This window comes from Homo sapiens, chromosome 12 (assembly GCF_000001405.40).
Source record: "Homo sapiens chromosome 12, GRCh38.p14 Primary Assembly".
Taxonomy (NCBI): domain Eukaryota; kingdom Metazoa; phylum Chordata; class Mammalia; order Primates; family Hominidae; genus Homo; species Homo sapiens.
In genome coordinates this window covers 47,816,606-47,829,153 of record NC_000012.12, presented here as the reverse complement: position 1 = coordinate 47,829,153, position 12,548 = coordinate 47,816,606, and the positions used below count along the sequence as shown (strand labels likewise).

General features: G+C 54.3%; 1 protein-coding gene across 11 annotated transcripts in view, besides 9 other annotated features; it reads left to right on the top strand.

The window, feature by feature from the left end:
* Positions 859-1,038: an enhancer, noted in NCBI's record as "active region_6268". NCBI's record gives its function as "activates an Ori minimal core promoter by ATAC-STARR-seq in GM12878 lymphoblastoid cells {active_cell/tissue: GM12878}" and the evidence as "EXISTENCE:reporter gene assay evidence [ECO:0000049][PMID:35858748]".
* Positions 7,489-8,410: an enhancer, noted in NCBI's record as "NANOG-H3K27ac-H3K4me1 hESC enhancer chr12:48214527-48215448 (GRCh37/hg19 assembly coordinates)". NCBI's record gives its function as "activates a minimal SCP1, AML or CMV promoter by ChIP-STARR-seq in naive H9 embryonic stem cells {active_cell/tissue: H9 hESC(naive)}" and the evidence as "EXISTENCE:reporter gene assay evidence [ECO:0000049][PMID:30033119]".
* The window catches only part of HDAC7 (histone deacetylase 7), a 38,623-nt gene continuing 33,884 nt past the window's right edge, over positions 7,810-12,548 (top strand). For 8 of the 11 annotated variants that reach the window (NR_160435.1, NR_160436.1, XM_047428983.1 and 5 more), the window contains exon 1: positions 9,251-9,387. Coding sequence is in view for 8 of the 11 variants with exons in the window: in XM_047428983.1 (XP_047284939.1) it covers positions 9,369-9,387 (19 nt within the window). In the remaining 3 variants the exon portion in view is untranslated. Of the gene's footprint in view, positions 7,844-8,434; positions 8,601-9,250; positions 9,388-12,548 lie in introns of those variants that run through there. The other 3 variants (XM_047428979.1, XM_011538481.2, XM_047428980.1) reach the window with 2 other exon arrangements.
* Positions 8,961-9,300: a silencer, noted in NCBI's record as "silent region_4403". NCBI's record gives its function as "represses an Ori minimal core promoter by ATAC-STARR-seq in GM12878 lymphoblastoid cells {active_cell/tissue: GM12878}" and the evidence as "EXISTENCE:reporter gene assay evidence [ECO:0000049][PMID:35858748]".
* Positions 9,441-9,520: a silencer, noted in NCBI's record as "silent region_4402". NCBI's record gives its function as "represses an Ori minimal core promoter by ATAC-STARR-seq in GM12878 lymphoblastoid cells {active_cell/tissue: GM12878}" and the evidence as "EXISTENCE:reporter gene assay evidence [ECO:0000049][PMID:35858748]".
* Positions 9,531-9,840: a silencer, noted in NCBI's record as "silent region_4401". NCBI's record gives its function as "represses an Ori minimal core promoter by ATAC-STARR-seq in GM12878 lymphoblastoid cells {active_cell/tissue: GM12878}" and the evidence as "EXISTENCE:reporter gene assay evidence [ECO:0000049][PMID:35858748]".
* Positions 9,531-10,322: a biological region, named in NCBI's record as "H3K27ac-H3K4me1 hESC enhancer GRCh37_chr12:48212615-48213188".
* Positions 9,749-10,322: an enhancer, noted in NCBI's record as "H3K27ac-H3K4me1 hESC enhancer chr12:48212615-48213188 (GRCh37/hg19 assembly coordinates)". NCBI's record gives its function as "activates a minimal SCP1, AML or CMV promoter by ChIP-STARR-seq in naive H9 embryonic stem cells {active_cell/tissue: H9 hESC(naive)}" and the evidence as "EXISTENCE:reporter gene assay evidence [ECO:0000049][PMID:30033119]".
* Positions 11,040-11,700: an enhancer, noted in NCBI's record as "H3K27ac-H3K4me1 hESC enhancer chr12:48211237-48211897 (GRCh37/hg19 assembly coordinates)". NCBI's record gives its function as "activates a minimal SCP1, AML or CMV promoter by ChIP-STARR-seq in naive H9 embryonic stem cells {active_cell/tissue: H9 hESC(naive)}" and the evidence as "EXISTENCE:reporter gene assay evidence [ECO:0000049][PMID:30033119]".
* Positions 11,947-12,056: an enhancer, noted in NCBI's record as "active region_6267". NCBI's record gives its function as "activates an Ori minimal core promoter by ATAC-STARR-seq in GM12878 lymphoblastoid cells {active_cell/tissue: GM12878}" and the evidence as "EXISTENCE:reporter gene assay evidence [ECO:0000049][PMID:35858748]".

Sequence of the window (12,548 nt, the reverse complement as noted above, 5' to 3'; positions counted from 1 at the left end):
CTGCCCCTCCCTCTCCTTGCCTAGATGACTCCACCTCTCCCAGGTCCTGGCTGGGATCCGAAGGCCCCAGGCAAGTGGGGGAAGGGGAGCCACTCCCACTTTCCCAGAAGCTGCTGCTGCCTCTTCCTGTTTTGCTAAAACTCTGGCTCTGGACTCAAGCAAAGAGGGGGAAGTCACCAGCTCCTGCCCCCCGCCCCAAAAGGTCAACCTTGCCCCCCTGGTCCTCTTATTTATAGCCCCCACTACCCACCACCCCCCCACCCCCCGGCCCCAGGCCCTGGCTAAGGAGCTGGATGTCTCCTCCCTCAAATAGCAGCTGTGGCCATTGCCCCAGGGATACAGCCAGATGGGCAGATCACTCCAGATGTGCAGTGTTTCGGGAGGGGAGGCCAGGCCCTTTCTGCAGTCCCTGTGGTACTCCCCGCAGCCTGGTCCTGGTTCCCCTCAACTTCAAGACAACACTTGAGGATTTCAGGAGGATCAGGAAGGTTGCACCTATTTTCCCATTTCTGTAGCCTGGCCAAGCTACCCTGTATACCCTAGAAAGGTCAGCTTGGGCGATAGGCCCTACTGGATTCATTTGCATAAATCAGCTCAGTGCTCACTTTGAGACCTCAAATTATAGAGGAAAACAGGCTTAGGGAGACAGAAGAGACAGGACACTGTCTCTCTTCTATTACTGATGTGAGCATTGGAGCTCTGTCCCTAACAGCCCAATGTGTGCCAGGCACTGTAGTTAAGTACTTCATGTCCCAATCTCATCGGTCCTCGCAAAACCCTAATATAGCAGGCACTTCATACCCTAATCTGCAGATGGGAAACCAAGACTCCTCAAGGTTAAATAATATACGTAAGGTCAAGCAGTGGGGAAGCAACAAGCTCCAGCCCAAGCAGCTCGACACCAAATCCTTGCTCTTAACCACAGTACAACACCTCCTCACTCTGTCCATTCTTCTGGGTACTTTTAAATGATCTCTTTTTTTCTTTCTTTCGTTTTGAGGTGGAGTCTCACTCTGTCACCCGGGCTGGAATGCAGTAGCACGATCTCAGCTCACTGCAAACTCTGCCTTCTGGATTCAAGCAATTCTCCTGCCTCAGCCTCCGGAGTAGCTGAGATTACAGGTGCCTGCCACCACGCCTGGCTAATTTTTGTGTTTTTAGTAGAGACGGGGTTTTGCCATGTTGGCCGGGCTGGTCTTGAACTCCTGACCTCAGGTAATCTGCCCACTTCAGCCTCCCAAAATGCTGGGTTTACAGGTGTGAGCCACCACGCAGGCCTAAATGATCTCTTAAAAGCTCAGTGCAGGGGGCCAGGCATGGTGGCTCACACCTGTAATCCCAGCACTTTGGGAGGCCGAGACAGGTGGATCACCTGAGGTCAGGACTTCAAGACCAGCCTGGCTAACATGGTGAAACCCTGTTTCTACTAAAAATACAAAAAAATTAGCCAGGTGTGGTGGTGTGTGCCTGTAATCCCAGCTACTCGGGAGGCTGAGGCAGGAGAATCGCTTGAACCCGGAAGGCAGTAGTTGCAGTGAGCCGAGATTGCATCATTGCACTCCAGCTTGGGCAACAAGAGCCAAACTCTGTCTAAAAAAAAAAAAAAATGCTCAGTGCAGGGAACCCTGGAGCCCAGGACTCAGGGCCTGCCCAAGGGAGATGTCTGCACATTGTCTCTGCCTCCTCTGCCTTCCCACCCCTAGCCATTTAGACCAAGCTGGAGTGAGGGATCTGTTGAGGCAGAGATTTCTAGAATCACTGTTCTGGGTTTCCTCAGACCCCAAGCACAAAGGAGAGCAGGTGAGGGCAGAACTATTGCCCCAACCCACATTGATCCCAGGATCCATTAGGTGTCTCCCAGCTTGGAACTCTGGTGACTCTGAATCCTCCCTCTCCTTTGCAGCATATGTTATTCGAGTCCCTCATCCAACCGTTTTCTCCACTCCAGGTTCTGTTCTTAGATTGTATCCTGCTCCCCAGGAGGTGATGAATTCCTCACTGTGGCTTTTTTTTTTTTTTTTGCCTCTGTGCCTGAGAGTCTGACACGGTGCCTGGCAAAGAGTAGATGCTCAACAAATGTGTGTTGATGAAGAGGAGTATAATGGTGATCATCATGGGTGGAGTTTTTCAAGGTCTCAGCCAGGGCACCCTCGCTCACCTCCCAGCTTAGCCACCCTCAGCTCATTGCTCTCTTTCCTGCCTCTAGTCTCCTGACTCACAGGTGCATAATCCAAACTCACCCTAAAAGACACTCCTGGGGAAAGAGAGGTGAGTGTCTTCAGGCCAAGACCTTCTCAGGGGTCTCTCCTGGAGATTCTGGAGTCAGAGGTATGTGCTTCCAAAGAAGAAGCATTGAGATTTGTAGTAAAGTGGGAACCTGTTGACCAGCCAATATAGCCCCTGGGGCAACTGGAGGGTTGTGTTGGGGCATATGGCAAGGCCGAAGCTGAAGCCTGCCAGTGGGAGGACCACAGCATCCCTGCAGGGGCCCAGTGGAGCAAGTAATGGTGAGCTGGCTGCAGAAAGGCATTTTGCAACTCAGACGAATTTCTTCTCACTCATGATTAGAGTATGGCCCAGTGGCTGCCTCCCTGACCATAATCTCTGCTGGCACAGGCATCTCTGGGCTGGGCAGCCCAGGCTGTGGAAGGAGCGCTGACCTGGAAACCCTGGGGCTTGAGTTCTCTGCCTGCCCTGGCCCTGATTAACCGTGTCATCTCTGGCAATTTACGTCCTCCTCATGTCCTCCGTTTCCTCATCTGTAAAAGGAATGGTTTGGATTAGACCAGGGAGTCCCAAACTTAACCACACCTTAGAATTACCTGTGGTGCTGCAGGTTCCTGGGTACTATCCAACCTTCTCAAAGAGTCTGATGGGGTCGGGGATGGGACTCAGGAATCTTTTTTTCACAGGTTCTTTCAAGTGGTTTTTATTTACTTATTTATTTTTTGAGTCAGAGTCTTGCTCTGTCGCCCAGGCTGGAGTGCAGTGGTGCACTACAACCTTGACCTCCTGGGTTCAAGCAATTCTCCTGCCTCAGCCTCCTGGGTAACTGAGATTACCGGCATGTGCCACCACACCTGGCTAATTTTTGTATTTTTAGTAGAGACGGGGTTTCCCCATGCTGGCCAGGCTGGTCTCAAACTCCTGACCTCAGATGATCCACCTGCCTTGGCCTCCCAAAGTGCTGGGATTACAGGCATGAGCCACTGCGCCCAGCCTACGTGGTTTTGATAAAGTGTTAGGTTTAGGGGATCCTAGAGACTAGATAATCTTATAAAACACTTGCAGCTTTTGGGAGCAAATATTCTCGTAAATGGAATGGGTACATCGTGAGGTTTTGCTGCTGAGGGGTTTTATCAGAGAGCAGGTGATGGGTAGTTTATTTTATCATTATCATTATCATTATTATTATTTTGCTGCTGGCATTATTGTTATAGAAGGATGTGGCACCTGCCCATCTGTGTGTTTCTGCCATGAACAAGGTTCTGGCCTAAGCGGGGCCTCGCTTACCTCAGGGTTGGGAGTGAAGCTGGGAGAGGAGGGTAGGGAGGGAAGGGCTTTCCCTGGTGGGTGGGGCCTCTTGGCAAGGGGACCCTGCTTTCCCTCTCTCCTGGGTGGAGTTTGGCTCCACAGGCTTTGGCACCAAACTCTGGGGCTGAGAGCGTCTCTCCCCACCCATATTCCTCCCCCACTTTCACATCTTAGCCACTCAGTCCTGGGGACTGCCCCCTTCTACTCTTCCTTTCCCGACTTCCTCCCCAGGCCCCTCCAATCCTGCCAACCTCATTCCTGAGCCTGGCTAATCTGTTTGCCACCCTCTGCTTCCTTGCCTCGCCCTTGCACATGCCATTCTCCCTACCTGGAATGTCACCCCCTCTTCTCTCCCCACTCTGATTCACATCTCTGGGCTCTTTCAAAACCCAGTTTGACCGACACTTGCCAGCTTCATGGAGGCCGTGTTCTGTCCCGATGTGCTCCGGTCTTCCCTCTTTGCGACGCACTCATTTGCGCTTGGAATAATAGAATCAGAAAACTGCTTTAGACTCAGAAAAATAAATATAGATGATCTAAAGCAGCCCCCTCATTTGACAGATGAGAAAACTGAGGCCCAGGGTGGTTGCGACTTGGCCAAGATCACACAGTGAGATTTTTTAAATAGTTGGCTTTGCAAGAGGCTTTCAAGTATTTTATGTGTTTGTTTTGTTTCCTCAACGCTCTGTGACCAATAGAAGGGCAGGTGCTTTGTTTTTGTTTTTGTTTTTAATGTTCTTATCTCCACACTCTTGTTGTGTTGTGTATCCAGGAGCTAAAGTACGCAATTGTAATATTTGTTATGCCATCAGGAAAATAATTCTAAAACTCACAGTGGTACAAATCTTTTCATGTATTATTCATCTGATTTCAGGCCAGCCCTGTGAGGTAAGTAGCCAAGATATTGCTATTTACAAAGCAGGAAACTGAGACTTAGAAAGGTGTGACCCAGGAAGTTAATGGCAGAGCTGGGCCTAAAACTCAAGTTCCCTGACTCCCAGCCCAGGCTCCTGATCCCCACAATGTCTCCTTTCTAGCTCTCTCCTGATGCTCCTGGCTGGGGACCTGGCATAGTCAAGGGGGTGACCGTTGCCGTCTTTTCATTCATGGTACCTTCTTTGTCTTGGGCTTGAGGAGACTGTCTGGCTTCCTGCCCCTCCCCATCCTGTCCCAGTGCTTTCTCCTTGTGTCCCCTGCCACATAGTTGGCACATAGACACATACATGTATATTCAGAACTGCAGGTGTCTAGGGCAACAGACCACAGGGGAAACCACATCACCTTTGTTGACTCTGTAGGGAGATGGGGGTAAGGGGAAGGGACCAGCTTAGTTCTCTCCACCTGCCCCAGTCCCCACAGTCATCTACCCTCCCAACCTGAGACCCTGGTACTTATAGCCACACTGTAGCCTCTTCTTGATCTAGCCATCCAATTCTGGCCCAGAAGGATTTGGCACCTCTTCTCTCAGATCCTGACATCCTAGATAGGGGTCTGCCTGCCTGTACCCCAAAGTCACACCCCCAACCCTACTCAGAATACTTATACGGTTCCCCTGATTCTGCTGGTGCAGTGCAACAGAGAAAGGTGGGAAACAGGGATGAGACCACATGGCTGGGGTCAGAAACTTGGCATCTGGAATGAGATGTACAGGGACCTCAAGGAAGCAGGCTACACTGGAACAGGAGACCCTGGCAATGCGTCCTTCATTATTTTGACCTGCTAGGAAATTGCACAGGCTCTGAATCAGACATACTTGGGATTAAGTAACTTACTGGCTCTGTGGCCTTGGGCAGATCATTTTGTCTTTCTGAGTTTTACTTTGCTCATGGAAACAATGGGGATAATAATGAGATTTAAGTGAAAGGGCTTTGAACAGCGTGCGATATGTAGAACATGCTCAATAAATCCTAAATTATCTTTCCTTCCTTCTTTTTCTTCCACTCCTTCCTTCCCTCTCTCCTTCCCTCTCTCCTTCCCTCCCTCCTTCCTTTCCTTCCTTCCTTCCTTTTTTTCCTTTTCTTCCTTCCTTTCTTCTTTCCTTCCTTTCTCCCTTCTTCCTTTTTTTCCTTTTCTTCCTTCCTTTCTTCTTTCCTTCCCGTACTTCTTATATCTCTTATGTCTGGTCCCATGAAACCCTTTATTTGGAGTTGGGGACCTAATCTCCCTTACTAATCTGCAAGTCCCAAACCCTGAGAATTGGCATTTGATTCCAGATCCAGAAACTGAAATGCAAGATCCAAACTAACCCAATACAATGAGTGTCCACTGAGATCTCACTGAACTGAGGCCTTGGGGAAGGAGCACTTTCTGGTTGGCTTTGTGCGAAGTGTGTGAGGATAAGTGCAGGCTGGCGGAGGAATTGTGGCTATGGCCCCCACATCTAGAAGGTTGGGAACGGAGGGTATCAGAAAGTTTGGATAATTTTCTGGGGCTTTAAATCCTGGCACAAAGTAGGCACCCAATAATATTTGTTGAATGAATGAATGGCCCTGTCACTTACTAGTTGTGCAACTTTGATCAGGTTTCTTAACCATAAAGGCCATGCTTTACTCATGAGCATAACAAGGATTATTGTTAAGAATAAATGATCTAATGTTTGTCCAGGGGATAGCAAGGACTGCTACGCAGTAAATGGTAAACAGTAGCTAACTAAGGAAAGAAGGAGAGGAAAAGGAGAAGAGAAGGTCAAGTAGGCCCAGAGTCCCAAAGGGAAGCAGATTGGGGTGCCCTCAGGCTTTGTGCTGGCCGGAGACTCTAGGGAAGGCTCAGGAAGCCAAGGCACGTCTTTTGGGGCCAGTCTCTTCTGCTAGGTGTTCAGCTGAGAAAGCTATGAGAGGCCTGGACTCAAGAGCTTTTTAAAAAAAGGCTCCCCACGGTAACCAGGCTAGAAGAGAGAGAGGTAGCTTGCATTTCTCTGTCTCATGTCTCTAAGGTTCTTGGAGGCTTTCTAATTTATCCTGGTAGGGGACATGTGACTTAGAAACTGGCTTAGGACTCTGCCATGAGGCGGGGTCTGGTAAGTAAATCTGGCAGGGGAAGGAGAGACACAGTCCAGCTTTCCCAGATGCAGGTTGCACATGCTGTCTTTTTCTCTGACTATATGTTGGAGGCAGTGAGTCCTGGTGTGTAGAAAGCCACATGTTGGGCACTGTGTGGACAGACAGGCAGGGAGATAGCCTCTTAATTCAGATCACTCAAAACTCAGTGATGAGTTTAAAAAGAGAAAGAAGACTCACAAATAAATGTATGCACAATGCACATGGTAGAAATGAGCATAAAAGGGCCTGGCTTTACTACAGAAATAGCTACAGAAAAGCTACGGATATGTGTGTGTTGGGGGTTGGGATCAATTGTGGAGCTAGACAAGGGAGATAGCAGGCATGTCGCTGGGGGTCTGCAGTAACCAAGCAGTTTTTCTGGAGTCTGTGGACACCAAAGAGGCATTTGGAAGGAGGATGATCTGGCTTGGAATTGAGGGCTGGGGATGACATACCTAAGGTGGAACAGCATGTGTCTTGGAGAGTCAGCATGGGTAGTTATGGGGTGAAAGAATGTACTGTAGGTGTCCAGCTGGAGAAGGGTTCTTGAAAGTCATGAACATCTGTCCCAATTCAACAAATAACTCACATCAAGTTTGAATTCTGTGCAAGACACTACAAGAAATGCACCCATGACCAAGGCAGTAGCTGGACTCAGGGATATCCACTCTTGAATGCTCTTGGAAGGAAGAGAGTTGAGACAAGTAGACTAGGTGGGCGAAGGTCAATGTATAAAGACCACACAGTTCAGGGAAGAATTCCTCTTGGCTATGGGAATCCGGGAAAGCCTCCCGGAGAAAGTGGTATGCCACTTTCTTTTTCTTCCAGTCCTTCCTTCCTTCCTTCCTTCCTTCCCTCCCTCCCTCCCTCCCACTAGATAGGGAGTGGGTCTTGAGGATTGGAAAGATTTCAACAGAAGGAGAAAGGGGCTGGGAGGACATTTCTTTTGGAGGCAGCATGATGAGCGAAGGCAAGGGAGTGTGGAAGCGTGAGGACAGGATGGGAAGCAGCTAGCAGCCCAGTCTGGCAGAAATAATGATAGTAATAATAGTGACTAACACTACTGAGCCCTAAGTACCAGGAGGCACTGGGCAGGGATGTGTATGGAGTGTGGTGCCAGGTTGTAGGAGGACTTGAATGCCAGGAAAGGCTTTTGGGAGGGTAAGTTAACAAGCGCAGAGGGGTTGGATCTGCCTGCCGAAGGAGAACTGGGACAAGGAAAGGGGCTGAAGTAAGAAGTCCCACGCTGAATATGCCGGTAGCAACAGATAGTGAGTCCCGAGCTGTGCCTGAGGGAAGGGAATAGAATCTATGGTTTGAAGTTCACCGCCAGCATGGCCAAGCCCTCCTAGGCCACTGTGGGCTCTTGCTTCCAATCAGACATGACTCCACCTCTGGGGCTGCCTCAATTTTTCCTTCTCTGGATTCTTGGGGTTTCTTAGGATTGCGGGAGATAGAATGGGGTCAGGGGAAGCTGCTCCTTGGTTTACAATGGTGGCGCCTCACGCTGCAGAGAGCCCAGTGTTCCTGCGTGGTGGACCTCTCCCCTTCCTAGGAGCAGCTCCAGATTGCTGGAGGCAGACACGGCTGACCGGCTAGCCCAGGAAGCACAATGGCGAGGTCCTTAGCCCCTGACCCCTGAATCTGACCTTCTCTCCAGCTAAAAGCGGAGGGAGAGGCAGGGAGGGCCACTGCCTAAAGCCGGCCCTGAGCTGAGTTTATTAGCTGAGGGAGGGCTGGAGGCGGCTGCATTCCGACTCACAGACTGGAACATTTCTGTGATCCGCTGTAATGCACTGGGGGACACTGGGCACATTGCTGAAGTTTGACTCATAGGGACCGGGAGGGGGAAAGAGGGGGGTTGTGGAGGGAGAGGAATGGGAGGAAGAGAGGAAGAGGAGAGGAGGGAAGGAAGTCCCTTGAGAAATTTCTTTAAAAAAAGAAAACTTTCAAAATCTGCACCACCCCCACACCCTTTTTCTTTTAATAGGAACAGGCTGGACCCTTCCGTTCCCCTCAGCAGGCATGGTGTGTGTGTGGGGGTGCCAGTGGGGGAGGGCTGGGCAGTGATTCAAATCAGATCCTGGAACTTTCCTGAGGCAAGTCGTGCTTATGTGTGTGTGTGTGTGGTGGGGGGTGTCCGTCTGGGATTCCTTGTATGGGACATGGGACACCACGCGTGTCCCACTGTGCCCGCGTGTGGCTGCGTGCTTGTGGGCTGTACGGGTATGTAGTGTGTGCACGGGGGTCCACCCCGAAGCCCCAGTGTGTGCTGTGTAAATGATTCTGCCCCTTGTAAACATGGATGCGTGCTCGTGTACGTTGTGTATGCGAGGGTGCGTGCGCCCAGGTAGCTGGGTTTCCGGGAATTGTGCACGGCTCGGAGCGCCTCGCGGCGGCTGGGGCTCGGAGCCGCGGCCGGCGTTCCGGGTTCGGCGCTGCCTCCCCGGCAGTGCGCCGCGCCCCGCCGCGATCTGGCCGCGCGCGGTGTCTGCGGCCCGCCTGTGCGCCGCGCGGTGCAGTGTCTGCCGGGGTGGTGTGTCCCAGGGCCGCGAGCGCCTGCCCCCTCCCTCCCCTCCCCCTTGGCCCGCTCTCAGACTCAGATAAAGCATTTCCTTCCATTGTCATCCTACCCGGCCGGCCGGGCTGCCAGGGCCCTCCCCCTCCCGGCCCCCTCCCTTCCTCTCGCCGTCTCACAGTCGCTCTGCAGCCTCCGGCGACTGGGGGGATGTGAGGCCGGCGCCCCAGCCCCCCGCCCCGCCATGAGCCCCCCGCTCTGAGGGCCCCGGCCCCTGGATGCACAGCCCCGGCGCTGGTGAGTACTGGGCGGCCGCCCCCCGCCCCGCCCTGCGCGCGGCACCCAGCGTCGCCCGCCCAGGCTCGGCCTCCGGCCCTGGCCCCGGCTCCGGCTCCGGCTCCGGCTCGGGCTCCCGCCAGCCCCGCGGGCCCAGCCCGGCTTGCGCCCCCCGACCGCGCCTGTCCCGCCCGGCTCCGCGGGGCTCTGGCAGGCTCCGGGTCGGAGCTGGTTCCGGGGGCCGGAGGGCTCGGGCCTCCCGCGGGGCGCCCACATCCGCCCGCCCCGGGGCAGCTACAGGCCCAAGGGAGGGAGTTGGAGGCCCCGGCCGCCGGTGTGCGGGCCCCACGTCCCATCACCCCTGTTCCCGGGGAGGACGAGCCGAGGGACCGGGGAGGGAGGGACGGCCGCGGTGGCCCGGCGAGGGGGCGGTGCTCCGGGGCGGAAGGTTTGGAAGCGCGAGGGCAAAGGGCAGGACCCACTGAGTTGGGGCTGGGCTTTGTGGGGCTGGACATCAGCGCCCCCATCCCGTGGAGCCGGGCAGGGCCCTACTCAGATCCTTCGGCGGGGAAAGAGGTCCCTTGGAGGGGTCTCTGGCTGGGAGGTTTCTCTGAGCATTGCCCCCCATCCTTGCTCACCCATCAGGGTGAAGAGACACCTGTGCCCTGGTGAGCTGTGGAGGTCAATGCCGGCAGCGGCGCGGGAAGCGGGGCGCCGCAGGCTGTGTGAGGGGTGGGGGACAGGATGTGCACCCCCCAGGCCTGGGGTCTGTTGGTGTTGGGGAGTGTGAGAGCAGGCGGCAAATTTGGCGGATGGGCTGGGTTCCCACGACCAGAGTTTCTAGGCCTGTGGGCCAGGAGAGAGCCCTCTGGGGCCCGCAGGCCACCCAGTGCCCCACCCCCATTGCTTCCCGCTGTGGCTGCCCGTTTGGGTCTGACCTCCCCAGCCACGGCTGCTCCTCACTCCTTCTCCCCGCTGGCTGTCTTGCGCACCCAAAGGCCTCCCCCTGCATCTGGACACTGGCTGTCTCGCTGCCAACGCTCCCTGCCCACTCCCCTAGGCAACATCTGCCTGAGGCCCAGCTCTGCCTGCCGCTTTCTAGGGTGAGAATGGGGCATCGGCCCTCAGCGGCCCTGCTGGGAGCTCAAGATCAACTTCTCAGCCTGTTCCCTGGACTTGCATCTGGACCTGTGGGACCTTCCTCAGGACCCCTATTCAGCTATAGGGCTGGCAGGAGACTGTGACTCAGGTCCCTGCCCTCCAATGAGACGCTTTGGCGGCCCTTTCCCCCTCCCAGGACTCCATAGGCTGCTAGGCTGCCGCTACCCATGGGTTATTAAGTCATTTTCTTCTTCTCTGCAGTCATTTCTGAGGGAAACTAAGGCACAGAGTAGTCCCAGTGAGTGGTACCCAGCCCAGTGAACCTAGACTGGAACCAGGTCTTGGACCTATTGGGACTGGTCCTCTGCCTTTAGTCCCCTGATGTCCCTCCTTGCCCAGCAGGGCCAGGCTCAGAGGCAAGCTCAGAGCTGCCTCCTGATGTTGCACCTGGAATGGTCCTGGTGCAGTGTTCTCCAGAGGCCTCTGTGTCCCTTATTCGGCGGGTGTCTCTGTGGCCACCGGGTCTTACAGTGGGTTTTGGGGCAGGGAAGTTTGCATGTCTAAGCTGTTCACTCCACTTTGACACTGAAGTTCAGTTTCCCCATCAGTAAAATGGGGAGAAAATTCCAAGCACACTTCTCAGAGCAGAGCAGAAGAGGTTGACTATGGAGAGGAGAATGAAGGTACTGTGCTATTATCCACCCCCTCCAGTTTGCTTAGGGATAATGGACCTCAGCTTTAGTCCTTGGTGGCCTCTTGGCATGGAAGCTGGAACTTTCTCAATTCTGATATAAAACCCTTGAGCAAGAGAGAAACTCATGTGTGATGGGGTAGGGAGTGGGGACCCTCTGGTAGCTGTGGGCAAGCATGCCCAAGGACTTGGAAGACAGAAGCCTGTGGAACCCCATCTCCTCTTTGCCTTCTTTCTCCTGGCCTTTCATTAAGGGCTGGTAATTTTGAAGTCGGCAGGGGCCTGAGAGAAGGTGAGCTAATGCAAGGCCCAGGGTCACACAGCCAGGGAATGGCAGGCGGAGGGGGCCAGAACCAGGCCTTCTCACTCTGCCAGTGCCCATTCTGCTGGCCCACCCTCCACAGCTTGGCTCTCCCTGGCCTGCCCTCAGTTAGACTTCGGACTGAGGCCTCCAGTGGGGTGTGGGGTATTGCTGGAAGCAGGGCCTGAATAAAGTCTGGGGCTAGCGGGAGGGCATCTGTCCTCCCGGAGGCTCCCAGGACTGTGCATTTGTGTGTGTTGGATTTGTTCACTAGATGGGGCACTTCCTTTGGGGCAGGAAGCTTTGATTTCCTGTGGTGATGGTGAGGAGGGGTTGGTAAGGATTAGGAGTGGGGGGCTCAGCTCTGGGCCATCCTCGATGTTGTTGTTTGGAACCACGGAGGGGCAGAGTTTCTGCTTAAGACTGCTTCTCCCAGCTCTGGGGAGGCAGGAAGGAGAGCCTTGGTGAGGAGGCCCAGGCCAAGGCTGGAGAAGGAGGCTGTGAGAGCAGTGAGCTGGGGGTGGGCAACACAGCAGGAAGCCCGGTCAGCAGGTGACCCTGCCGGGTATTGTGTTTCCTTGTAATATTTTCCCCCTGTTTCTGTGGTAACCTTCCCTGGAGGCCCCAGGCCTTAGGGCTACAGGAAGGTGCCCCCAGACAGCCCTTTCCTTAGAGGCCTGAGTATTAGGAGGAGTCCCCAGATCTAGCCACCTCCCTAACCCTTTTGGCTCCCTAGGATCAGGGGCCTGGGAATCTAGGCGAGTGGCCTGAGTGAGCATGGACTCGCGGGCTGGGGGAAGGCCCTTTGGCGTCTTCTGGGGGGAAGGGAGAGGGAAAGAGGGGAGCTGGACGCCCGGAAGGGCCCTGAGCAACTTGAGTCGCTGGCCTAGCCTCTTGTTTCCTCCCAACCCATCCCCACTGCCCTCCTCCAGTCTCCCTCCTCCTACAAGGGAGAGGTGGGTAGCATGCTGCCTGGGGCAAGGGGCAGGGGTGGGGGTGGCAGAGGTGGGAGGGATGTTTTCATCAGCAGAGCATAGCTCCTTTGGTCCTGGACCAGTTCCCAGAGGCAAAATAAATTCAGGACAGCGT